The 27,704-nt window shown below is 37.6% G+C and overlaps 1 protein-coding gene across 9 annotated transcripts in view, besides 3 other annotated features; it reads right to left on the reverse strand.

The window, feature by feature from the left end:
* Positions 1-27,704, reverse strand: part of SMYD3 (SET and MYND domain containing 3) — a 757,933-nt gene that overhangs the window by 532,611 nt on the left and 197,618 nt on the right. Inside the window, exon 1 of one of the 9 annotated variants that reach the window (XM_017002094.3) lies at positions 634-24,096. The exons of the other annotated variants lie outside the window; for them this stretch is intronic. The gene's annotated coding sequence lies outside the window, so the exon portion shown is untranslated. Of the gene's footprint in view, positions 1-633; positions 24,097-27,704 lie in introns of those variants that run through there. 9 annotated transcript variants of the gene reach the window in all.
* Positions 23,729-24,928: an enhancer, noted in NCBI's record as "MED14-independent group 3 enhancer chr1:246468988-246470187 (GRCh37/hg19 assembly coordinates)". NCBI's record gives its function as "activates an origin of replication core promoter dependent on BRD2, BRD4, P300/CBP and CDK7 cofactors, and independent of MED14, by STARR-seq in HCT116 cells {active_cell/tissue: HCT116}" and the evidence as "EXISTENCE:reporter gene assay evidence [ECO:0000049][PMID:35650434]".
* Positions 23,729-26,091: a biological region, named in NCBI's record as "VISTA enhancer hs2070".
* Positions 23,992-26,091: an enhancer, noted in NCBI's record as "VISTA enhancer hs2070". NCBI's record gives its function as "enhancer in: midbrain (mesencephalon)[4/5] | eye[3/5]" and the evidence as "EXISTENCE:transgenic organism evidence [ECO:0001131][PMID:17130149]".

The raw sequence follows: 27,704 nt of genomic DNA on the forward strand, positions 1-27,704 counted from the left end.
AAGAGGAAAAAAGAGAGAGGAGGTAGAATGTCATTAAATTCCTTTCTGTTTTTGTAACATATCTACAAGACCAAATGATGTGAAAAATAGTTCTGCAAGACGGGGACTATGTGAATCCAGTTTTAAAGGTCCAAATATGTATACTTTACTTATATAGATCATGGCATAGTAGGAAAGACAGAAGATCATAAAAACAAATATAATGTAGAGGTCTAAAAATTGTTTCCTGGTCAGGTGCAGTGGTTCATGCCCGTAATCCTAGCACTTTGGGAGGCCAAGCCAGGAGGACTGCTTGAGCCCAGGAGTTTGAGACCAGCCTGGGCAACATGGCAAGACCCTCATCTCTACAAAAAAAAAAAAAAAAAAAAAAAAAAAAAAAAAAAGCAAAAAAATTAGCTGGGGGTGGTGTTGCCCACCTGTAGGCCCAGCTACTCAAAAGGCTGAGATGGAAGGATCGCTTGATCCCAGGAGGTCGGGGCTGCAGTGAGCTGTGGGCCAAGGTGGCGTCACTGTGCTGCAGCCTAGGCAACAGGGCAAGACCCTGTCTCAAAAAAATTAATAATAATTTTAAAAAATAAAATTATTTGTTCCAAAAAAAAAAAGCTGCATGTATTTTTCTTTTCTTTTGCTTACCTATCATTATTTTTCCACATCTCTTTTCTTGGTACTTCAGACAGATGAAGATAAATGAAGCACAGTAGTTAACTTCTTTGTTTGGATACAAAAAATCTTCTGTATCAACAATATTGTTATGCAAGCACTTTAAATGTTGCTTCTAGCAGATGAGACTTCTGCTTCAACATATGTTATGGGGAAAAATGATAAAAATTTATTCATGACTAGAATAACTGAACAGTCAACAAAATCTAACTAGAAAATGTAATAAATCAACCTGGTTTGTTGCAGTTGTTAATTATCTAAAGTAAACTGAAGATCCAGTCTCTCACTCCAAACAAGAATAAATAATCCCAGATTCTCAGCACTGTCAATACTTTCTATATCATCCTACCACTGCTGCAAACTTCTTCCTTCAGAGTGATCGGAATTTAACTTCCTCTGCCTGCACCTTCCCTGAGACAGGAAAAGCCACAAAAGAAATAAGGAGCTCTAAAGGTTCTTCTGCTCAACAATGGCACCTTAAAAATCTAAAACTTACTGAGGGAGCATGTAACCCCCCATAGAAAATAAAACAGTGGTCAAGCTTTTGGGATCTGGACTCAGGGTGGCTTGGGTTCACACCACAGTTCTACAAATGTAATCTTGGGCATGTCATCTACTTTCCTAAGCCAGAGATAATAACATTGCCAAGAGTGTAACAGTGAGTGATCATATGCACAGAGCTTAGCATTTTACCTGGAACCTATGTGTTTCATGAGCATGAGCTATTGCCATTATTACATCCCCTTTGCTACATCCCTCCCAAAGTCCTACCATCGACTCGCAATCTGAACAAAGAGAAAGGACCTCAAAATCCTTACTCTGGCTAAACTGGGCTTTAAATGTGTCAGATGTGTCCATCTTGCTTTCCTTCCTCACCACCCCTGCCTGCCAATAATCAGAGCCATGGAAAAGCTTCCCTTGCTCATGCATAAATAACGTCCTCATTCATATATACCTGTGTATGTTTAATTACAGTAACTAGAGGTCTCAAAATAACTCATATGGTTCTAATTTCAAATATTTAAAGCTCTTAATGACACTTGCTTCTGTGAGACCAGAAGAAATATAATTGCCACAGCGATAACATCTAAAGCCCAAGATCATTTCTCCCAGAACTTATAGCACTCACAGAAATCGACCAGGATCTGCTTGCAGTATCTTTTAGAATTTCTGTCTCCCACTGACACAACCGAGTCATAAACAAAAACTGCAGCACTTGCCAGCTTTCACAGCCCATGACAACTGTGAGTTACACACAACCTTCAGGTACACCATTCACCCTAATAACTGATTTCAAAATAACAAAAGGAAGTCAAGCATTTAAATGTAGCACATTAATATTTGACTAAAATAGCATATCAACCAGTAGAAAAATCAAACAAGGTAAATTACTCATGAAAGAAGAACTACATGAATTTCTCAGAAACGAAGTCTTGCTGGAGAGGTACATGCCATGTCACTTGCAACCAAAAGTACTTCCTCAGAGCCAATATCAAAAGCACCGGTGAGTATGCTGCAAAACGGCATAGCAGGCTGTCAGATGCTGCATATCAGCTACTTGAGCAGTTAGATTAAGCTTTCCCAACAGGCAAGTGCTGCAGTACTTCTGCATCTAGCATCTGGTAATGTGTTGCAAACGCAGAACAAAGAAAGCAGCAGGCTCCGAAATCTTTCAGCTTTCCTTTGACCATCTGCAGCACTTAAACACTTCAGGGTTACCAGGTCAGCAACGTGAATTCTCTCAATACCATGAAACATGAGCAAAATTTCCATTCTCTGAGGTTTCTAATTCTTTTCTTTTTCTTTTTTTTTTTTTTGAGACGGAGTCTCACTCTTTCGCCCAGACCAGACTGCAGTGGCTTGATCTCGGCTCACTGCAAGCTCCGCCTCCTGGGTTCACGCCATTCTCCTGCCTCAGCCTCCTGAGTAGCTGGGACTACAGGCACCCGCCACCACACCCGGCTAATTTTTTGTATTTTTAGTAGAGACGGGGTTTCACCATGTTAGCCAAGATGGTCTCGATCTCCTGACCTCGTGATCCGCCCACCTCAGCCTCCCAAAGTGCTGGGATTACAGGCATGAGCCACCGCGCCCAGCCTCTAATTCTTTTATTTTTCTTTACTTTTTCTGATTGTATTGAGATAATCAAATGATTTTTCTCCTTAAGGGAGTATGGTAAATTGTATTAATAGGTTTCTAATGTGAAACCAGCCTTACATTATTGGAAGAAAACACAATCTGGTCATGTTGCTTTTAAATTATTTGCTGGATTCAGGTTGCTAATATTTTATTTAGGATTTTAAAAACTCATGTTTACTAGTGATATTGACTAGTAACTGCCTTTCCTTTTTTTTTTTTATTTCCATAGGTTTTTGGGGAACAGGTGGTATTTGGTTACATGAGTAAGTTCTTTAGCGGTGATTTGCGAGATTTTGATGCACCCATCACCCGAGCAATATACACTGAACCGAATTTGTGGTCTTTTATCCCTCACCTCCCTCCACCCTGTCCCCCAGGTCCCCAAAGTCCATTGTATTATTCTTATGCCTTTGCACCCTCATAGCTTAGCTCTCACTTATGAGTGAGAACACACAATGTTTGGTTTTCCATTCCTCAGTTACTTCACTTAGAACAACAGTCTCCAGTTGCATCCAGGTTGCTGCAAATGCCATTAATTCATTCCTTTCTATGGCTGAGTAATATTCCATCATGTATATATACCACAATTTCTTTATCCACTCATTGACTGATGGGCATTTGGGCTGGTTCCATATTTTTGCAATTGTGAACTCTGCTGGTACAAACATGCGAGTGCAAGCCACATGCAGGAGAATAACTGGATCCTCACCTCTCACCTTATACAAAAATCAACTCAAGATGGATTAAGGACTTAAATCTAAGACCTGAAACTATAAAAATGCTACAAAAAAAAAAATTGGAAAAACCCTTCTAGACACTGGCTTAGGCAAAGACTTCATGACCAAGAACCCAAAAGCAAATGCAACAAAAACAAAGATAAATAGATGGGACTTAATTAAATTAAAGAGTTTTGGCATGGCAAAAGGAACAGTCAGCAGAGTAAACAGACAACCCACAGAATGGGAGAAAATCTTCACAATCTATACATCCAACAAAGGACTAATATCCAGAATCTACAAGAAACTCAAACAAATTAGCAAGAAAAAAACAATCTCACCAAAAAGTGGGCTAAGGATACGAATAGACAATTCTCAAAAGAAGATATAAATGGCCAGCAAACATATGAAAAAATGCACAACCTCACTAATGATCAGGGAAACAAAAATCAAAATCACAATGCAATACCACCTTTCTCCCGCAAGAATGGCCATAACCAAAAAAATTTAAAAAAAATAGAAGTTGGCATGGATGCTGTGAAAAGGGAACACTTCTACACTGCTGGTGGGAATGTAAACCAGTACAACCACTATGGAAAACAGTGTGGAGATTCCTTAAAGAACTAAAGTAGAACTACCATCCAGCAATCCCACTACTCGGTATCTACCCAGAGGAAAAGAAGTCATTATATGAGAAAGACACTTGAGGTTTCTGATTCTAAAGTAAAACCTCCATCCCACAAAAAGCTTAATAAAGGATAATAACAAAACCTTGCTTTGCCAGCACTTTTGTTTAAATTTTTGTTTTTAAGTTCCAGGATACATGCGCAGGATGTGCAGATTTGTTACATAGGTAAACACAGCACTTTTTTTTTAATCTGACAAATCACAAATCACCACACAGCTCCCATCAATGCCTCTTAAAAACAAATATTTTCCACTGTCTTAGGGAAGTCCCAATTTCTTTAAAATTCATCATACAAATTATTTCCTCAAGTTTTCACTCAATGAAAATTCCTGAGTATAACACAAGACTGACATTAGTTCTGTACTCAAACTCTCAGAAAATTAGTGCTAGTTTTCTACAGACTCCCTGAAGGTCTTTTTAAAAATTTTTAGAAATTTGTATGTAGTAATGACTTGCCAATATAAATGTAATACAGAGACACTGTTTTTGTTCATCTTTGTATATCCACCTAGTATAGGGCATGGCACATACCAGACACTCAATATTTATTAACTAAAGAGTACGTAGGTCTGCTGCCTCTCAAATATTTGATAATCAGACTTTTGAATTCTAAATTTCAAGTGGAGAAATTTTCTCCATTGACCATCATTATAAAACTGTAGTGGTATATCTTTGGAAAATATATGACCTCAAGATATAATAAAAAAATCTTTTTTTTTGTTTTTTTTTTTGAGACAGTCTTGCTCTATCATCCATGTTGGAGTGCAGTGACGGAATCTCGGCTATTGCAACCTCCGCCCCCTAGGTTCAAGCAGTTCTCATGTCTCAGCCTCCCGAGTAGCTGGGATTACAGTTGTGCGCCACCAGGACCGGCTAATTTTTTGTATTTTTAGTAAAGACAGGGTTTCACCATGTTGGCCAGGCTGGTCTTGATCCCCTGGCATCAAATGATCCACTTGCCTCGGCCTCCCAAAGTGCAAGGATTATAGGCGTGAGCCACAGTGCCCAGCCTAAAATAACATTTTAAAAAACAACAATCATTTTAGAATTTCATGAATATCAATTGATCAGAAAACATTAGTGAAAGTCCAGAGTTGTTTTAAACTTAGAAAATATTTTCTAATATATATAGTTTTCGGAATAATAATTAGGTCAATGAGCTAAAGATTTCCTTTTACAGTTTCATTACAAATTTAAAAAGCTTTTGTAGTAAAAACCCATGAATGTAATCACTATTTAATAGTTTATGTTTTCTAAAAATGTGTTTGGCATTCCATCTGTTAAGTTAGGACTCCAGAAGAACTTACCGCTATGTCCAAACTGGGTTGGAGGGGGACAAGCTGGGTTTAAATTGCGTTTCTTTCACTTGCTAGGTGACCTTGGGCAAGTCATACTAAACCTCACTTTGCCTATTACCACATCTCTAAGATGGACATAGAAATACCAAGTTTTGGGAATACTATTCTTGAAGTATAGTAATTAGATTTGGGGGGGTTTTGTGTGGTTCCTTACACCTGACCCTGTCTCTGTTTTGGCCAGGGGCATCCATCTGCCTACGGGATATTCAGGTTTATGGAAACAGGAATACAAAGAGAAAGACTCAGTGTTCAATTATGACACCTATAAATCAATATTTTCAGTCAACAAGCAAAATTCTTGACAGCCAAGCTTTGTCAAGAGAAAATGTGCTTTCTAAATTCCTAAAACACTAATTTTTAAAATGAGGGCTGAAAACGGAATGAGAAGCTCACCTTGCTTCCATGAGCACAGCTGCAGGGTAGAACCACCTAGGAAGGCCTTGGAACGTTACACGGCCTGGGGCCCCCACCCCCAGACACTTAGATTGGTCTGGGCTCAGGAACTCAAGCATTGGCAAGTTTTTGAAATGCCATCAGGTAATTCTTTTTTTTTTTTTTTTTTTTTTTTTTTTTGAGATGGAGTTTCACTCTGTCACCCAGGCTGGAGTACAGTGGTGCAATCTCAGCTCACTGCAACCTCCACCTCCCAAGTTCAAGCGATTCTTCTGCCTCAGCCTCCTAAGTAGCTGGAATTACAGGTGTGTACCACCACGCCTGGCTAATTGTTGTATTTTCAGTAGAGACGGGGTTTCACCATGTTGGTCAGGCTGGTCTTGAACTCCGCCATCAGGTAATTCAAATGTGCAGCCTGGATTTAGAACCGTAGCTCCACAGAGAAGCTTCTGGTTTGGTTCAAAACTACGATCCACACACAACAGGAGGGAAAACCCAGAAGTGGCCTCCTGGTCCCCTACAGCCCCATGCGTATGTTATGCAGTGGATCCTGAGCTTTCCTGTGACCCAGTGGGGGTAATGCAGAGACTAAGACTCCCCAGAGTGGAGAGATGGCAAGAATAAAAGCTAAGGCTAGTCCAGGCACAAGACTAGATAAACCAACCACCTGGGGCAGAAGAGAATCAGGACCAGTCTGCAGTCTTGCTCCCATTGCCATGGAAGGACAAGGAGGGGAAAATGCAAAGAATTGAGCATTTATCTGAAAAAAAGACAAGCTACCCAAGGACTTTAAACTACAAGAAACAGAAGCACCATTAAGGGGTAAGTTTGTCCAATCATGTACATTCCTTACTTAACTGCTTCCCCAGATGGGCTGAGGTAAGAAAATGTAGTTCAATTATAAAATATTTAAAAGCCTGGCCAGGCACGGTGACTCACGCCTGTAATCCCAGCACTTTGGGAGACTGAGTTGTGTGGATCACCTGAAGGTCAGGAACTTGAGACCAGCTTGGCCAACATGGTGAAACCCTGTCTCTACTAAAAATACAAAAAATTAGCTGGGTGTGGTGGCGGGCACCTGTAATCCCAGCTACTTGGGAGGGTGAGGCAGGAGAATCGCTTGAACCCAGGAGGCGGAGGTTGCAGTGAGCCAAGATTGCGCCACTGCACTCCAGCCTGGGCAACAAAAGCAAAACTTCGTCTCAAAAGAAAATAATAATCTTAAAAAGCGATTGTTAATTAAAATTATCCAAAACATGAAAAAAGAAAAAGATTAGGGAGCTGTGTGGCCTTCTCATATTACTCTAGAGCACTGTTTCACAGCTTCACCCAAGGATTATTTAATTCCCTAGAAGAATGCCAATGCATTTGACTTTGTTACTTGCTGTTAGAGCACAGATAGTGTGAAACTACAACGTTAGCTTATAGATTTCTGTCCAGCAGAAAGGATAACTCTAAAAACTGTGGTTTTAGTGCATGCAGAACGTCACCAGTTTTGTCTCCAATCTAGCAATCTTATTCTAATGCCTAAAGATCAGTTCCTTCAGTACTCTGGACCTGCATTAACTCTGCCTGGTTTCCTCATTAATAAGTTAATACATCTTTGGCATTTCGTTTTGTATTTCTGTGAGAGTCAGGTTTTAACTTTTCAAAAAATTTACTTTGATAGTATATTTTCTTTGCATGACTGGTAGTGTATGTAAATCTACCACTCACTGACACTGATCTCAGTGGACATTTTATAAGATAATTCGACTGCTTGGTGCAGTGCATGGCACTTGGTAAATGCTCAGTAAATGTTACTGTTCGTGGGTGCTAGTGGCTAGAGGAGATTTTACCTGCATCTAACAGTAACCATGAACTCACCAATGGAGGTCCACAACCATAATCCAGGGCAACCCCGGGTAAGTGGATACACAGACTTCCTCAGTAGGGACTATTCCCATATATCATAAATATAGGGAGCCACTCTGCTCAAAATAATTCCCAAACTATCAACACAGACAGTACGACTCACTTGTATATATTTATCACGAGTGTGTGGGCCTGTGAGGAAAAAACTATCATAACTTAGCAAAATCAGAAAGTACACAGATCTAAAAGAAGCCATCTCCTTGGCGACCAAAAGTATGCTGCTCCATACTTAAAGGAATCTTCAAATGATGTTCAAATATATGATGACAGGAGAAACAGCAACACAGCAAAATAACTACATTAGCATATGAAGAGAGGAAATTGGACTGGGGAAGACCTGAGAGTTTTCCAGCAAAAACTGGAGAAAAGGGAACTAAACCATCTACATTCCATAGTTCATCTTCTGTCACTAATAGTGATTATTATCCACTAAACTATCTAAACTTTTGGCCAATTTCTACTGTCGCTTGAAATTTTAAAAGCTTCTTTTTGGACTGTTCATTTCAGTTACTGTTCTCATTTCACTAGACAAGAGAAGCCCTGAAAACCCTAGTAAAGCTATCAGGGAAGAGATATATGGTTAATTTCTTAAATTATGAACTCCTTAAGTATGACTTCTCTACAAAAAGTTTCTTCATCAATGAAGTGCACCTGTAAAAACCATTCCTTGTCTAACCTTGAAATTGGCCTGTAACTTCAAGGCTTAACTTTCGAGTGTGAGAGTTTCAGACACATCAACATATTTTCAAGGCCATAAACACTGGGTAATTTTTCATGCTCAAGTGTCTGGAGTTTCGTTTTCCTAATATCAATAAGCAATATCACAACTAGCAAGGCAGAAGGAATAAAAGCACCTCAGCCTCTCACAATGAACTGAAAAACCCTATATTCTTTCCTTTTTTTTCCTTCACATCCCATTTCTTTTACCTTGCCCAGCTGGTGGAAAAAAATCTAGCTTCCTTCTGAACTAAACACACATAATTAAATACACACAATCTTAATTTACCACACTGATGTCTTCATCATCAGCTACCCTAGCACCATTTCAAAGCAGCAGAAAGAAATATAATAATTTATAAGCCAGCTCCTGAGGTTATATATTTATTTTAAAACATGCCAGTTTCAACAATATAAAATGCTTTCCCATGTTTAAAAAACAAGACTATTTGTTACCTTGTGATGGGACAATTAAACAAGCTTTTAAGCGTGATAAAAAAAAAAATACATAGGTTAATAAAGTAGTCTTGATAAAAACAAAGCAAAGATTTGAAAACATTGGTATTTCCATAACCTACAGAATACTGATGACTAGATGGTCAAGACAAGCATCAGTTACAAATTATGTATACAGCTTGCTAACAAATTAGGGAAACGTTCCCCTCTGGTTTCTTTCCCGACTACTTGTAAAATAATATTCGCATACAAATTTGCAATTCAAATTTGATGTCTTATGAGTGCATTTTGCAGATCATGCTCTGAGAAGGAAGAGAGTGAGCTAAGAGTTGCATGGAAAGTATAATTTGCTGCTGGCTTTTAGCCAGAAACACTAGACCAAATGTTTATGGAGACCACGAGGCACCTAAGCAAGCCCAGTGCATCTGGACTTCTCAATACTAGTTGTTGCTATTTATTTATATGTTAACCTCCAAATAAAAGGTCAAATAGAGTAATATCTACATTACACATTCATACATTTTAAAATATATTTATTTTACTTACACAGTACAGGAAAGGAAGTGATTTGCCGTCACTTTGAGAACACTTGCAATAGCAATGACAAGAAAAACCAGTAATTTAAGCAACACTAATAACCATATGTCTGGACCTATGTTCAACTGTAATTTACACATTAAGTATAAGCTTTTATTTTCATACTTGAGAAAACATGCCAGGTATTCAGTATTTATAATCATAGTTAACTTGCAGAATGAGGAAGCTAATTACAGTAGAAAGAAGAAAATATTAGCCTTGGGAAAATATGAATTTGACGATCACACAGGTAGGTAGTAAAGGAGCCATTTCTACCTCCCATGACCAATGCAATACACCAGCATCTTAGACTTACTATCCAACACACCAGCATCTTAGACTTACTATCCAATACACCAGCATCTTAGACTTACTATCCAACACACCAGCATCTTAGACTTACTATCCAACACACCAGCATCTTAGACTTACTATCCAACACACCAGTACCTTAGACTTACTATCCAACACACCAGTACATTAGACTTACTATCCAACACACCAGCATCTTAGACTTACTATCCAACACACAAGCATCTTAGACTTACTATCCAACACACCAGCATCTTAGACTTACTATCCAACACACCAGCATCTTAGACTTACTATCCAACACACCAGCATCTTAGACTTACTATCCAACACACCAGCATCTTAGACTTACTATCCAAAACACCAGTGCCTTAGACTTACTATCCAACACACCAGTACCTTAGACTTACTATCCAACACACCAGCATCTTAGACTTACTATCCAATACACCAGTACATTAGACTTACTATCCAACACACCAGCATCTTAGACTTACTATCCTACACACCAGCATCTTAGACTTACTATCCAACACACCAGTACCTTAGACTTACTATCCAACACACCAGCATCTTAGACTTACTATCCAATACACCAGTACCTTAGACTTACTATCCAATACACCAGTATCTTAGACTTACTATCACTGTCAAGTATTAAAGCAGATATGATCACTATATGGATAAATATATTGCTAATAAAAATCCACTCCAACATACCAGTCACTCCAGCACAGCACAATATAAATTTTGTAGGGATATGCTGCAGTAAACCATGTGACACAGTAAAAGGAATGACACATTACAAGCTTCCCTTAAACAGAAGACCATGAACACGTATTGCCAACCTATTACTTGAGAGCATTTGGGGGCAAAAGAGTCATGCTGAAATTGGAGTCTCTGCAAAAGGAACACAAAGGGCTGAGCAAACAACAGGAAGCTTAGGCAGGGAGCATGGCAGACACTGAAAAAACATAAGGAAAGGGTCAACATATAGCCATGTTCAAGAACATAATTTTAGTTAATGCTAAGTATTAAGACTGAAAACTGAAACATGGGTTGGGAAAAATTGCTGATGAAATCAAGGAAGATCACAAAGAATCATTCCAAACCACCATATTTGGTGGGTAAATGTATCTGTACTGTAAAAACACTGTACCATAAAAAACAACAACTAGATCATGTATGATGCTATTCCATACATGGTGGTAATTATGAGGCCAATTTGCATCTCCTCACCGAGAAAGGATTGTGAATCCCCAAACTACATCATATCACCCCCTAAAGAATGTTATGGGTCCCTGACCTAGTGGATGATCTCTCCCTCTCTCCATGAGGCCCCAGCACTGACAGATATCTTCTGAACTATATTTGGTCATGTAGTCTGAACAACAAATCATTCGCTTGCTACCTCATCTACATGTATTATGTACTTGGATGTTTTGCTGGCACCCTAGAGATCTGGAGCTTTTAGAAGGCTACTTTACCATAGGTGTGGTAAGTGTGATCAATATATACCTTTAATTAAACTGTAACTTATTTTAAGCCAGTATCAGAAGGCAAGTTAAAAAATTAGAGGACTGTAACTTCTAAGTAGTATAACACGCACATTAGCATTCACCCACGTGCTTCCACTTTTGCAGACATGGAGCAAAAGCAGCCCTCCTGCTAGTGAGACTACTCCAAGAAAACCCCTCCCCCGGCACAGTGGAAAAACCCACGACAGTCTCAGAAGAAGAGCGTCTATCCCAGGATTCAAGGTTAATTCCTTTGCTCTCACCTTCTCAGAAATATCACTTCATCATTAATAACCCTTTTGCCCACTTATCTTTAAATCTTCATCTTTGCTGGCTCACACATTCAAATCTCTTCAAAACAAAAAAACAGAACCAAAAACTCCACACTCCTAATTAGTGCCCTATTCTTTTCTTCTATTCACAGTCAGGTTTCTCAAAATGATCAAGCACTCATGACTCTAAGGTGCTCTAGCAAAGCTCACCAAAGGATTCCCTATTATTGAACTCAATGAACCTTTTCAGTCCTCACGTTAACTGACGTCTCTGCAGCACTTGAAGCTGTTGACCTCCATGAAGTGCTTTTTCTCCCTTGGTTTCTATGATATCTTTCTCTCCAGGTTTTCCTCCCACTTTACTCCCTCTCAGTCGCCTTTGCTGGCTTCTCTTTTTCAGCTTGCCCCTTAAATGTTCCTGTTCCAAAGTGTTCCATCCATGCTGCTCCTATTTTCTTTTCTACCTACCCTCTCCCTACATTCCTTCCACCTCCACAGCATTAGCCATCATCTGTATACTCTAGAGAATGTCTTCCTCATTTCTAAATACCGGCGTCCCCAGCACATAGCACTCACTCAGTAAGGTCAGATGAAAGCCTGATGAATGATAGACAATTACAGAAGCAACCAGGGCCCACTATGTTGCAGAGTTAGCTTTAGCAAATTCTAATTTCTTGACCAGATTAAATCTATCTACAAATGGTCAGTCTTACTGAGGGCTGACTACCATTGCCTGTAAGTGTTCAGCTAAGTGTTCATTTAGTCAACAAATATGCAGTGCCTGCTATGTGTCAGCACAGTGCCTACTATGTGCCAGCTACATGATAGGCCAAAGAATTCGTGGAGAAAGCCCTGAAAATAGAAACAGACAACTCTTTCTGAGTCCATGTATACATCTGTGTGTGATCTGGGCAAACCAATTAAGCTTCCTTTTTTTTTTTAAGACAGAGTCTTACTCTGTTGCCCATGTTGGCGTGCAGTGGTGCAATCTCGGCTCACTGCAACCTCCACCTCCCAGGTTCACATGATTCTCCTGCCTCAGTCTCCCAAGTAACTGGAATTACAGGCACCCACCACCTCGCCCAGCTAATTTTTGTATTTTTAGTAGAGACATGGTTTCACCATGTTGGCCAAGCTGGTCTGGAACTCCTGACCTCAAGTGATCTGCCCACCTCAGCCTCCCAAAGTGTTGGGATTACAGGCATGAGCCATCGTGCCCGACCCAATTAGCCTTTCTGCCTACAAATGTCTTCATATATAAGGTGAGAATAATATATCTATTTTACAGGGTTACTGTGGAGGTTACATGAGATAATACATAAATCTAATATGTTGCATATTACTTATGTCTGTTATTCACTGTGAATAATATGTAATAATAAATATTTTATGTACTCCTTTGTTAAAACAAGCTTATAAGACAAGTTAAGGCAGGAATTAGTATTCCCACTCAGAATACTAATTCTATTAGTATTCTAATAGCAGCACCAGAACCTAAGCAATCTCCCCAAGCCCACTCACGCAGTCCCTAGGTGGTAACGTTCTTTAGTGTCAGAGACCAAACTGTGATTCTCTTTACTTAGTATCTCTTACAGATCCCACTGCTGCCCAGCAGCATAAAAGATCCTACCCAGAAAAGGGTCTACAGTTGAGAAGCCAAAGGTCCTAAGATAGTAGCCGAGGAGTTGATGAGCAAACAAAGTGTTTGTTTTCTTAATAAAGAAAAACAGTTTTCTGCTTGGACACAGTGTAATTCCAACTATAAGAGGCAGCATAATGTTTTCAGTCAGGGAAAGGTCTCCAATTTCATAAGTTTTGATTTAACAAGAAGATTCTAATATTAAAAACTGTCAGGTTGCCACGGTAACAATCTATTTGCAATCAAGATGCTGGTGGTATTCTGTTATATTTCTCTCAAGGAAAAAGTAAACTAGATGTAGCCAAGGAATTTAATAAAAGTATCTGTTGGACCAAAACCAAGATATGACTGTTTTTAGGCAATATGACAGGATTTAAATATACAGCAAGAGACCCTCAGGTTACAATACCAGTTCCATCAATAAAATTAAAAGATTTTGACCTTGACACCAGTACAAGCTATAGCCATATGATCTGGAAATCTGAATCCTCTGAGCAAGAAAAATAAATCGTTAAACAATTGAGATGACAGGCATGGGACAAGAAAGTCAAAATTCATCAGAAGGAGAACAAAATCAATCCCCAAGGGAGGTATGAATTATAAAGACTAAATTTCTCACAGAAAATTCAAAGGTTTGATTTGGGTGTTTTGTTCTGCTGTTGTATGTATGCATGTATGCATGCGGAGGTAGGTTTTGCACTCCAGGACATTCTTGGATGTTTTTAACTTGCTGCTTTCATCTAGAAAATGTTAGAAGGACATATTGAAAATGAACTGATTCTAGACAGGAGAGGAAGGAAGTGACTGTCAGGAATTAGGCCGCTCTGAGTCTGGACATGCAGACTATGCAGACAGAGAAACTTCCTCCACAACCACCGAAGCCTCAGTCACGCCCATGAAAATCACATGGATTTTCTCTACAGTTAAGACTTTTCAAGTACTTGTTTCTACAACGATTCAAGAAATGGTAACACTTGCCCCCACAACTTTAGCCATGAACAACTCATTTCTCTTCAATGTGTTAATAACTTTACAGAACTGTATATGCATGCTGAATGTCTAGAATGACAACCAGAATAAAAACTGCAACTCCTTTGGCTTCGACAATAAATTGGCTTCACAAGAAAATACCTACATTCATGACAGAAGAAACTGGCTCTTGCCTTAACCTATATAGTTAATGCAGATTTATATATAAATAACATTATATACTTTTTAGAACATATATTTTTATAAATGTATATTTATATACAAAATAACTAAATTATTTTCTGAAACAGCCTTGAACATTGTGTGTAATCTCATTTTCTGTAAGTCATTTTCCTTCTACTTTCTCTATAAAATTGGAGCACTGTCCTCTACCCCTCCGAAAAGACATTTGTTAAAATCACAGTGAAGGTTCAGCATACCTTAGAAAATCAGACATTTTAAATTCTATGAAGTTCAGACAAAATATTAATACAATATGATATTCCTATTTAAATAAACTCCTATTTAAGTGATTAATGAATCATTTATGTATTATTGTACTATACTTAGTACAGATAACATATTTTTGTTGAGATAGCGTTCTTAAAGATCACAGAGATTCTGAAAATGCTTCTAGGTTGAGGAACTTAGGTAGAGGAAGCTAACAATCGATGAATACAATAAAGGAAACTCATGAGTGATAGAGATTTGAGGAAAGTGCTAGATAATCATCCAGACTTTAAATAGTTTGGGCAATGATTCAGGGACATAAATGGCCAGCAGTTAGAAATAGAGTTGGAACTCAGGAGGGGGCTCTGACACAGAGACAAAAATTTACTCATTCACAATTAAGTAATAGTTGAATCTATTTAGAAAAACAATGTGAAAAAGAAAGTAAGAAAGAGAAACAAGGACCATCTTTGAGAGATGCCAACATTTAAAGATCCATGGAGGTGAAACAAACAAGGTGACAGAGGTATCTTCAAAGTCATAAAAGAGGAGTTTCATTAAGGAAACAGTCAACAATATATGCCTCAGAGGAGTCAAACAGGACACAGAAAGAGAACAAAATACTGTATTCAACATTTAGGATGTAACTAGTTACGTGAGTGAATTCACTTCAGTACGGTAGTAGAGGCAGCAGCTAGCCTACAATGGGTTAATGAGTTAGCAGGGAAACAACGCATCCAAGAATTTGTCTTATATTCTAAGATCAAGAACCCTCAACGAACAAAGGTAAGTGATTCAGGCTTACATCATAACCCTTCCTAAGTTAAAAGGACAAGAGCATTTGTTCAATAAGGACAGAACCTGAAATTACTGGCTTGTAATGAAAACGTTTTTAACCCTAAACAAGAATAAATTTCTTGACTAGAATATTTTTCTGATGCATCAAATGTCAAATATTCAATTATTCTGATGTATAAATACCAGAGATTCACTGTATTGACCAGAGAATGCTATGAATCTACCCAAGATTCACAATACTTTTCAATTAAATTAAGCAATTTTTCCTTCTAAGACTTCCATTTCAGTTCTAAATATGTGTTATCTCCATTCATCCTTGTCTCATAGGACAATGATCTTCATATTTTAGAGGTAGACAGCTTTACTCTTTGGTTTCTGTTAACAGGACATCTTGAATTTAATTGCCAATGTTATTTATGAATTATAACTGTAAGAGTGCTTTTCAGTATGATGAATATTCCATCATCTTTAATTTTTATGAGATGCTTAAAATGAAGGGGGATGGGACAGTCTAGCTGCTCTTTTCCTCTCTTGCTACACCCTCTTCTGGAAAGACAATAAACAACATAAGCTTTTTCCTTTGTCTATATAAACCTGCAGGTTCACAGACAGTGCCACTTGTCAACAGCTAAAGAGAAATAAGAAAAGAACTTCAGAAGGGGAAACATTCATAAAGAGCAAGAGCACACTGAGGTAAAAAAATAATAATAATAAATAGAAGCTATTACAGCAGGAAAAAAAGAATAAAACATAAGTGCATACTAATATCAAGAACTACAAAGGTGGCAAATTGAAATAATCTAAATACTGAATATTAATTTTTTTCTATGACCAAAATCATATTAAAGCTTACAAACCCAACCTAATGCCTAATGAACTCATTTAAGTTCAAAGTACATGAATGTAAAAGAAAGCTGAATATAAAGAGGCTATCTTGTGTTTTCAATACAATTTAAGTGTTATTATAGGAGCTGCCACATTTGTTCCCAAGTATCCCTTCATAAAATATCAGAGACAAGATGGAGGTTTTGTACTAATAAAGTAAAAGGTATACTTCCACCAGGTAAAAACTTTCTGGACCTAACAGCTTTAAAAATAAGATTGTACCAAAAGCTATCTTTATATAATGATGATGACTGGACCATCAAGAATATGCAACACTCCCTGTATATTATACTTCATCATATAAAGAAGGAACAGCTCTACTTTTAAAAGCCAGAGAAAATGTCTAGGTCTGCCTAGAACTGTCATGGCCTTAAAAATTTCATGGGGAAAAAAAAGAGTCAAAGTCTCATGGTTTTATTATGCAAAACTTCATGATTTCAAACCCACCAGAATCAAATAACTAAAAAATGAAAATGAAAATTACAAAGAGGCATTACTTATATCACTTTTAAGATTGGCAAGGATGAAAAAGAGTAACAGTATCCCGTACTAGCAAGGCTGTGAGTAAGCAAGCAGTGTTCTTGTATAGGGTTGGTGGAGTGTAAATGCAATATATATTAGAGCACAACCTGGCAACATATATAAAAATGTAAAATCTGTTTCTGCAACTTCATTTCTACTAATTTATCCTATGTAAAAACCAGTTTCATATGCAAAGATAGATGTATACTGATGTTCCCTACAGTGGAAAAAAATGGAAATACTTCAATAGCGTACTGGTTCATTAAATTTTAATGTTACATGCAGCCAACAAGTGTATGAAAAAAAGCTCAACATCACTGATCATTAGAGAAATGCAAAGCAAAACCACAAAGAGATACCATCTCATAGCAGTCAGAATGGCTATTATTAAAAACTCAAAAAATAACATGTTGGTGAGGTTGCAGAGAAAAAGGAACGCTTACAAACTGTTGGTCGGAGTGTAGGTTAGTTCAACCATTGTGGAAAACAGTGTGGCGATTCATCAAAGACCCACAAACAGAGCCACCATTTGACCCAGCAATCCCATTACTGACACATACCCAAAGGAATATAAATCATTTATCATGAAGACACATGCACATCTATGTTCATCGCAGCACTATTCACAATAGAAAAAGCATGGACACCCTAAATGCCCATCAATGGTAGACTGAATTTTTAAAATGTGGTACATATGCACTGGGGAATACTAAGCAGCCATAAAAAAGGAGATGGTATCCTTTGCAAGAACATGGATGGAACTGGAGGTCATTATCCTTAGTAAACTAACATAGAATAGAAAACCAAACACCGCATGTTCTCACTTGTAAGGGAGGGCTACATAATGAGAACACATGGACACACGGAGAGGAACAACAGACACTGGGGCGCACTTGAAGGTGGAGGATGGGAGGAGGGAGAGGATCAGGAAAAACGACTACTGGGTACTAGGCTGAAAAATGACTACTAGGTACTAGGCTTAACACCTGGTGACAAAATAATCTGTACGACAAACCCTCATGATACGAGTTTACCTATAAAACAGTCCTGCACATGTACCCCTGAACTTAAAATTAAAGTTTAAAAAAAAAAAAAGTTAACAAAGTTTAACATGTTCATACAATGGAATAGTATACAACCATTAAAAAATTATACGTGGTATGCATGTAGCTGTGTATATACTAAATAAAGATATAAATGTGGACCCAACTGTTAACAGTGTTGGTCTCTAAGAAGTAAGGTTTCTAGGGTACTTGGATTTCTCATTTGTGCTTTTACTTACTTTAACTTTTCATAATGCACATAGTTTTTTTATAGACCCCAATAAACATTTCAAATGAGTGATAAAATGTATTAGCACAGTTGAAAATGCACATTTGCATGTATTATAGACAATGGCTTTTGTTGTGTTGAAGGATCAAGGGGACTTAGATGTATTAAAGGTAATGTGATGGCTGTCTATAGTCTGCTGTTGTTATTACCAAAGAGATTTCTAAAATACCCAAAATTGCCTTCTTAGGTGTACGGGTGAGGAAAGCGGCCAGCAATGTTTAAAGTATTACCTGAATGAGAATGCTATTGATCTTTGTGGTGGTGTGGGACGCCAAGGTATGAATCTGGAATTTTCAAATGCCTCTGTGCTTTCCAGGTACTAAAAACATGAACTCTAAAATTACAGACACCTAGGTTAAGGATCAGTTCTACCACTGACTAGCTATGTGGCTCTGGGCAAGTTCCTTCATCTTCCTAGGCCTCAGTCTTGTCTCCTGGAATACAGGGATAATAATAGTACGTACCCCCATAGAACTGTTGTGAAGATTTAAAATATAATATATGCAAGCCACAGTGCCTGGAATACAGCCAGTATTCAATGTTGGCTCTTATCCTTCTCAAAGCACATCAAGTTTGCTTTTTCATTACTGATTACAAAGACCTCAGGAAATCAAAGTCTGGATTTTATTGCAAGCAAAATAGAAACAAGGGATATTAACTTCAGATCAGATAATAGAAAACACCCAGCCTGTCAGTGAAGTTCATTTTCTTTCTAGAATAATGCTACCCGTCCTAAGGGTAGTTCAGCTTTGTAGAGATAGAAGTCGTCACTGATTATCAATACCAACCCTCTGACTGTGTGAAAAGTATTAAAATACTACCAGTACCAAATGTGCACATGGAAGACTAATGAAGAGCAAAACCCAAATCTGCCTATTAAGCATAAATGGGAACTTAAGGGAAAATCTGAACAAAGTCTAATGAACAAATAAAATATAAATAGACAATGAAAAAAATATTGAAACTAGTCCCCAGGACACTTCCACCATTCGACAGATTCAAATCAGCAAACATTTATTAAGCAATTCACTGCTCTCAAGAATGTTCAATTCTCGTGCAGGAGCCAAGACAAACCAATAAGTAACTGTGATAAAAGACAGGATGAGATGAGTGCTGGAAAAATTCCATAGGTGCCCGAAAGGGAGGTAGTACACTTCCTGCAGGGACAAGGGAAAACAATAAAGCTACAGTGGGAATGGTTTTCAGGTATGAGTACAAACAAGATGGCCACAAATTAAGATTGATTCACCTAGCAAGTCTGAAGTAATGAGAATATGTTTTAATAAACTGCATGCACACATTTTATACTGTCTATTGAGAGTCTGTTTTATAAGAAATATAATGTTACGTGCTATAAGGGAACACAATAACATTTCTGACATCTCCTAAGCTTTACAATCCAGCTGGGGAGCAAATTATGCATATTGTATTGTGAATTCCCCAAGGGCAACTGATGTGTCTTTTTTATCTTTCTATTCCCATCCTCTTGCACAATCCCTGCAACATCACTGGCACTAAATGTCTGGCAAATGAATAAATAAATAAGTGACTATAATACAAAGCAGAATATTATACGTGTCACTGATAATCCGTATTAGAGAAGTTTAAGAGAGGGACAGAAAGTAAGCAAGGAAGCTGCACTATTTCTGTCATCTAGCACTCACTCCTCATATTCCTCTGAAAATCATCCCTTCCTCATTATCTGTCTCTGTGATTCCTTGGAACAGACTCCCAGGGAGGACATGCGAGCTAAGGCAAGCACATAGAAATACCGCGTTTCCCTGGTTATAGCAATTGCTTCAAGAGTGCATACCTGCCCCAAGCCCCACCAGTGAAATACAATCACCACTAATCTTGGGGATTATGCTTAAGCAACAAAATAATAAGTTACTTTTCCTGTTGAATTTGGAGCTGAGAGGATGAAAACCTAGAACTTTTGGCCACTGTCTTGCCACCCTAAGAAGAAAGGCTATCAGAGAATCGAAGCAACTCACAGAAGGAAAGCCTAGCAATGGGGGGAGACCAGACCCTAATAATGTTGTTTGAGCCCCTGGCCTTAGCAATGCTAAAAGGAAGCATTTTTCAGTCATAGCCAACAAATTCCTTTTGTGCTTCATTCAATGTGGGCTGGATTTTTCTGTCATGTGAAACTGTTTTCATGAAAAGACTGAATTAGATTTCATCACTGAAAACTGCAGTGGGTTTTTAAATACAGAAGGAATTCAGGTGAAAAAAACTGTATAAACAATAAGTGAAGTAAGAAAACAGAAGACTACTTCTGTTACAATGATTTATATATATATATTTCAAGTTTAAGTTCAGATGAAGACTGAATAGAATGGGTTAGGGTTAGCTAAGTAGGCTGAGTATAGCAAATTGGACAGTTCATGCTTCACGAAGGGGTGGCTGCTACCCAGCTCAAGAAAATTACTGCGATGTGGAAACTGACCCAATATGGCCACAACTCCCAATTTTCCAACAAAAAGCTCAATCTAGACTTTACAAGAACTGGCAGGAGTTAATAGCAAAAGAATGAGTTTATAGCAACATACAGAACCAATAAGCAAGTCTATGAGGCAGGATCCAGCAGTTAGCTTTGTGACTCAGAGGTTACTTAAATGGCCAAGAAAGTAAAATCAAATCCATACAAAAGGTATGTGGACCCAAGTAAAGGTTTCCTAAACACCACAAATATGTGGGTCTTCTACGGAACACTATATGACAAGAGAAAGAAGAGAGAATTGCGGATATACAGAAAAAGCAATGGAATGAATAGCTACAGCACTGAGCTCCTAACACAACAATAGCTGAAGAGCAGACAGAGTCTATGCTCTCAAGTCAGGCTGCCTGAGTTCCTACCCAGGCTCTCCTACTTTGTTGTTCTGTGACTCCTTTGACCAAGTGTCCTCAAGTATAAAATTCTGCTAATAATAGTGCCTGCTTCACAGAGTTGCTGTGAGGAGTGCATGAGTTGATACTTATTGTGGTTGGCAGAATTTTAAGGTGGCCCCAAGATTCCTGCACCCCTGGAGTACACACTCTGTATAATAAATGAGTGCTGTTTTAAGCCACTAAGATCATACATTCCTCCCTCAGTATTGACTCTAGCACCCCTGTGGATACCAAAATCCACAGGTGCTCAAGTCCCTTAGATTACATGGCATACTATGTGCATATAGCCTGTACCTATCCTCCTGTATACTTTAAATCTATACACTTATAATACCTAATATAATGTAAACACTATATAAATTAGTTGTTATACTCTTTTTTAAATTTTATATTATTTTTATTGTACTGTTATTTTTCATTTCAAACATATTTTATTTGTGGTGATTGAATCTATGAAGAACCCAAAGATACAGATGGCTGACTGTAGTAATTTATTATGCAGCAATAGAAAAATGTGTACAGCGATAAAGTACTTAGAACACAGCTTGACACATAGGAAGCCCTCAATAAATATCAGCTATTATTATTGGATTCTATTTAAGTGTACATTCTGGTACATTTAAAATAGCATTCTAATTACAAAAATTCAGTTTGTCCATATCATGTTTGCTAGCACAGAAGATGCACAGGCAGACAGATGCATCCCAGTGATACAAAGAACTAGGGCAGGCAATTGACTAAAAAATACTTTCTACAACACGTGTATTGAGAGTGATTTTAAAGTGATTTTGTAGAAGGAAACTAATTATTGTGTTCATCTACTTTAGACTGGAATCCAGTTGGAAATAAGTTCAGGATATTCAATGATAGTCTACTAACCTAAAAACAAAATATAACATCACAAAGTTATTTGTAATACATATTGGGTCAACAAATACTTAGCAGAGAACAAAGCATAATAATTTTACTGGTAAATGAAATTATAGTTTTATGTATGTGATAGTATTAAATAAAGATACTATATTTCAGATGCTCGTAACTAAGAAAACAAGCCATAATACAAAATACATTTGCATGAACTCCTATATAGCACACGTACAAAACAAATAGTATAAATCTGTATAAAGCAGGCAGCAAAATATAATGAACTTGAAGTCATTCCCATGGACATAGCCATAATACATATAGAAATTTATTTCAGTTTAAAAAACTAGTTCAAAGCACATTGTAAAAATAATAAACATGAAAGACTTTCAATGTAATGTGTACATATGCCATAAAAGTACATATTTCTCTGAACATTAGTAAATGACCAGCAACTGAAAATATGATAAAAATAGACTTCAATGAATACATAAGCAGGAAAAAAAATAGAGAGGAAAAAGGTATCATAAAGATTTTGATGTTTAGCCTCAAAGCCAAGTAAAGCAAGCCCAAAGCATGAAAATCCACTTACTAGCACTGCTAGAGTTTGGAGTTTTCTCTTTATCCCAAGCATTTATCCCATTAGCCACACAGTCACCATTATCTTTAAAATACACCCCCTGCAGCCTAATCGCTGTACAACTCTTGACATTAAGTTTGAACTTAATGTTCTGTCAATGCCTCTGCTGCTTTCTGAGCCATAGGCTACAAATTAATAACTTCATATGTAAAGAGGAAAAGCCCCATGATAAACCTCTGTGGGCTGCGGCTTGTTTGTTTTTAAAAACTACCAATGAGACATGAAACTTTCATCTTTGTTGAGATTTTTTATGTTCCTGCACTCCATCATTAAGAGCAGCCTTGCTTGCTACAGCCCACCAGGAACAACTAACATATACCTGCTTGGTCTTACACCCTGCAACAGGCACAGAAGATAGAAGCTAAATTCTCATACGATTACTTGGAATAAGGAGCATGTGTTACTTTACAATCTATTGCCTAACATAAGTCCCTTTTCCTGAGGTTGCCATAAGCTTACATGAGAAGGTGTCCTAAATCTCTCACAGTAATGCTGAATCCGAAAGGGTTCGGAGCACTCATTTTGAGGAGCACAGACCTCATTCAGTGAAACAATGATTAAAGATTCTGTTTCATATTTTATTCTAAAATCTTACAAGAAGATACAGAATCGCTTCCAGAAAAATGTTGAACTCCAACAACAATTTAATAGAATTATAGAAAATCTCATTTCAACACAAGCCTCAGCAGAAGAGCTTCCTTGTTATCTTCAATGTAACACAAATCATCTTTTTAACATAAAATATTAGGAATCATGCTAATTTCACAGCTTTGTTACATTAGAAAAAAAAGTTAATGGTCAATTCAGGCTGCATCCATTTTATAATGTACAGATAAGGGGTATTTTCTCATAAATCTGCTTAAAAATGAATATTAAAGAGGGATAACGTGACACCATGTCAAATAAACAAATAAGGATGATAAAGGAAATATAGCTATTTGAAGAAGATTATTTGAAATAACACATGGGCTTCCATAGTCATATTTAGAGAAACATTCTAACTAAAGTCAGACTTTGTATTAATTACCACAGAATTCTTAATTACAAAATCTAACATGAAGGAATAAAAAAACATTTTAAGGTTCCTTTCTTCAAAAAGTACACAAAGTTAGCTTGTCCTACAATTTTCAGTCATTATCTTATCTTAATAAATGAGTATGATATTTAACAGCCCAACTCTCCTCTTTAATTTGCTCTTGATGTCTAATGGCAGCGTTCAACCATGACAAAGCAAAATTACTAAAGTTCTCACCTTCAAGTTTAGAAAGAGCTATTGTTGATAGGTGAGCCATGTACTCACACAACTTACAGTGGATTTGCTGAACTCTCTTGGTGGCACCACAAAATATATTTCTGCTCCTGTCTTCATTACAAATCAAAATTGAAGGCTTATACAAATTTAAGCTGCATTAAAAATATTCAACAGGATCCCAGCACATTGGGAGGCGGATCACTTGAGGTCAGGAGTTTGAGACCAGCCAGGACAACATGACGAAATCCTATCTCTACTGAAAATACAAAAATTAGCAGGGCGTGGTGGCGCCTGCCTGTAGTCCCATAGTCCCAGCTACTTGGGAGGCTGAGGCAGGAGAATCACTCGAGCCCAGGAGGCAGAGGTTGCAATGGGCAAAGATTGTGCCACTGCACTCCAGCATGGGTGACAGAGCAAGACTCCGTCTCAAAAAAAAATTCAGCGGGGTGTATCTTCAAACTTTGTGCCATTTTTTCCCTTGAAATAAAAAAAAAATTAGAAACTGGGACAGATATATTTTTCCTATTTGAATGCTCATGAATAAAACTATATTTTATACTCTAAAATTATAATACCTTAACAGCATGGTGGAACCACTAACAGATATGGCTTTTCAATGGATAGTCACTTTAGTACTTTAGTATAATACTTAAGAGATCACACAATACATAAAAATAAACCTCTATCTCCAATTTATTATGGTATAAGTATTACCAAAATTAAATTTGTACACCACTTTTAAGGTGTAATATTGTAAAACTCTGCACTACAAAGAATTAATTGAAGCAAACTCGCTCAGATAAGATCATTTTGACCTCTGTTCTTCACGCTAGACATTTTCATTACAGAACAAAACAGTCACAAGTTTACTAATCCTAAATGACTTGGCAAAGCCAATCCTAATGACAAGGATTTTGCCGAGTCATGTAGGATTTAAGTGACTCTGTGGTTCCTGGTGAGATACAGTACTTCAAAACACACTGGCTGATCCTCAGACCAATGACCTGACATCAAGTCAGATGGAAGTAACTTTGAGTTTCAAACATAGGGGAGGATGGGTTTTTCTTAAGAATGAAAAAAAAAACAACTCAGCTTTTCATTCAGAGCAATATATTCTGAGAAACAACTTATCATTTTGGTAAAAACAGGAGAAGCCTAATCACTCAGCTTCTACTCTGGAGTATAAAATAGTTTTCACACTTTTAGTCCACATGAAAAATAGCTCCGCTGAATTTCTAATTGCTGTATTTAGTGCTGAATTTGTCCTTTTATATATTGGCCACCTCCTTTTTGAAACTCTCTTCTTTTATAGATCTCAAACCACCTGAGATCCCAAATCCTGAGTCACCTTAAGTGGCTCTTTCTCTTCATGTCTTTCTAAAAATCCTTCTCAGTTTATTCTGAAAAGCAGAAAACAAAAAGCAAAATAAACAAACAAAGGCCTACAGCCACGTTTCCCATTTGAAGAACCCTGCTCTCATAAATTAGGGGATTCTTTTTTTTTTTTTTTTTTTTTTTTGAGACGGAGTCTCGCTCTGTCGCCCAGGCTGGAGTGCAGTGGCGTGATCTCGGCTCACTGCAAGCTCCGCCTCCCGGGTTCACGCCATTCTCCTGCCTCAGCCTCCCGAGTAGCTGGGACTACAGGCGCCCGCCACCACGCCCGGCTAATTTTTTGTATTTTTAGTAGAGACGGGGTTTCACCGTTTTAGCCGGGATGGTCTCGATCTCCTGACCTCATGATCCGCCCGCCTCGGCCTCCCAAAGTGCTGGGACTACAGGCGTGAGCCACCGCGCCCGGCCAAATTAGGGGATTCTTATCAGGAAGAGAAAGCAGCACGAGGAGGGCTCACAAAGGGAAGTGAGGCTCACTAGAACAGCCCCAGGCATAAATTGCAGGGGAAACCTGAAATCAACTGCTCCTAACCCAAAACAGGCACGTCCGTCAAGCATGAACCAGCAGCAAGAAGCTCCTTGGCATCCAGTCACAAGGATCTAATCTCAACTCCAGGTACCTCGGTAGCCTATTTGCAATGGTGACTGTTAAATTCTAGGAAGTCAGCACTGACTCTTCCACCTACAGTATCTTCCATTAAAGGCCAAATCAAATGATCTCCCCACTCCAAATCTCCATCTTAGGTCTCCGCATCACCATTATCGCAGTCTGCTGGAGAATACTGTGAGCACCTCCATGTACTGAACGTGGAAAGCAAGATTTACAAAAAGAAGGCAGCACAGTTTTGCTTTCAACGAATCTTCAATATAACTATATTTATTTATATATTTCTTTCATTTATCCTACCAGACAGGGCGGAAATGAAGTCTTAATTATCCTTATTTCTCCACATGGTGCTGTGAATAGAGTCAGTACAAATTTGTTGAACTGAAATTTATTAAACTGGTTCTTTCTGACCTAAAAGAGCCAAGTAAGAATCCCACTGCTTTGTTTTGGCCCTATTTGTCCACTTTTTCAATATGCCATAGAAATAAAAGGATGACAAGTCAAACCAATTTTCCCCCACTTCTTTACTGCAAACAAATAATACTAAATATTATAATAATATAATACTAAATATCACAGTGATATAGAGAATGAGGGAGAGAGTTTCGTCCCAGAAGAAGGCCCTCCTAGCCGACTACAACAGCAATCTCTAGAAAAACCCCCTACCAAACTGACAAATTCAAAACAGCAATACCATATGATACTTAAGAGGAAGAATGGTTCACATTTACAATTTATGATAGCACAAAGGCACTCCAGAATTTTATGTTCAGTGTACTGAATAGAAAGCAGCTGTTAGGCAAAGCATGATTAAATGACTTCAATATGGGAGAATTAATCACATTTTCTTATACTCGGGATTCTGCTGTCACTCAAAAATAAAGATGGAAAGGACTGTAAGGTCAGTATTTTTAAAAACAACATCAAAATGGGCACCTAAACTAGTATCCATCTAAAAAATGTAAAATGACTCACAGGCCTAAGATAGTAAGATTTTATTATCCATCTAAAAAATGTAAAATTACTTATGTGCCTAAGATAGTAAGATTTTATTATCCATCTAAAAAATGAAAATTACTTATGTGCCTAAGATACTAAGATTTTAAAAGCTTATTTGCACTAAAAGTTTTTAAGAAGCATCCGTTCTGTATTAATATAATTAGTAGAACATCAAAGGTGCCTCCAAAACCAATATGTATTTTTTAATTGTGAAAAAAAGTTTAATACTAGCAATACTAAAAAAAAGTTAAAAAAAGCTTAATTGTTAAAAAAAAGTTTAATTCTCATTTAATTTTCATTTCACAGACTAGGCTACAATTCTAGCAAAACAATGCATTTATCAAAATACATGATCACATTATGCCATGGATGGGAAAACAGAAATATAAAATACATGCAGACAAGAAAATAAAAGCAGGCACTTGGATTATCATACTCCTCCAGCCAGACGAAGGTATAGTGAACTAGAGAGTTCACCACAAACAGGAATAGAATAACCAAAAACTCCAATACATCAAACATGTCAGAACTGAATGGCTGCCTGAAAATGAATGCCCCTGAAAACACTATCCTTACTTCCTCTGTTTACCAGGTAGAAAGTTTGAGGATTCTATTTTGTTTCTCATACTCTGTGTCTACTGTGGTCAATCAAAAAAATCTACTGAAGTTACCGGGCTTTGAAATTACATTCAGAAAAAAGCAAGCTGGACTGTGGGATAGGTATTTATCAATGAAATGCTCCCAA

The sequence above is a fragment of the Homo sapiens genome, chromosome 1 (assembly GCF_000001405.40).
Source record: "Homo sapiens chromosome 1, GRCh38.p14 Primary Assembly".
NCBI classification, from domain to species: domain Eukaryota; kingdom Metazoa; phylum Chordata; class Mammalia; order Primates; family Hominidae; genus Homo; species Homo sapiens.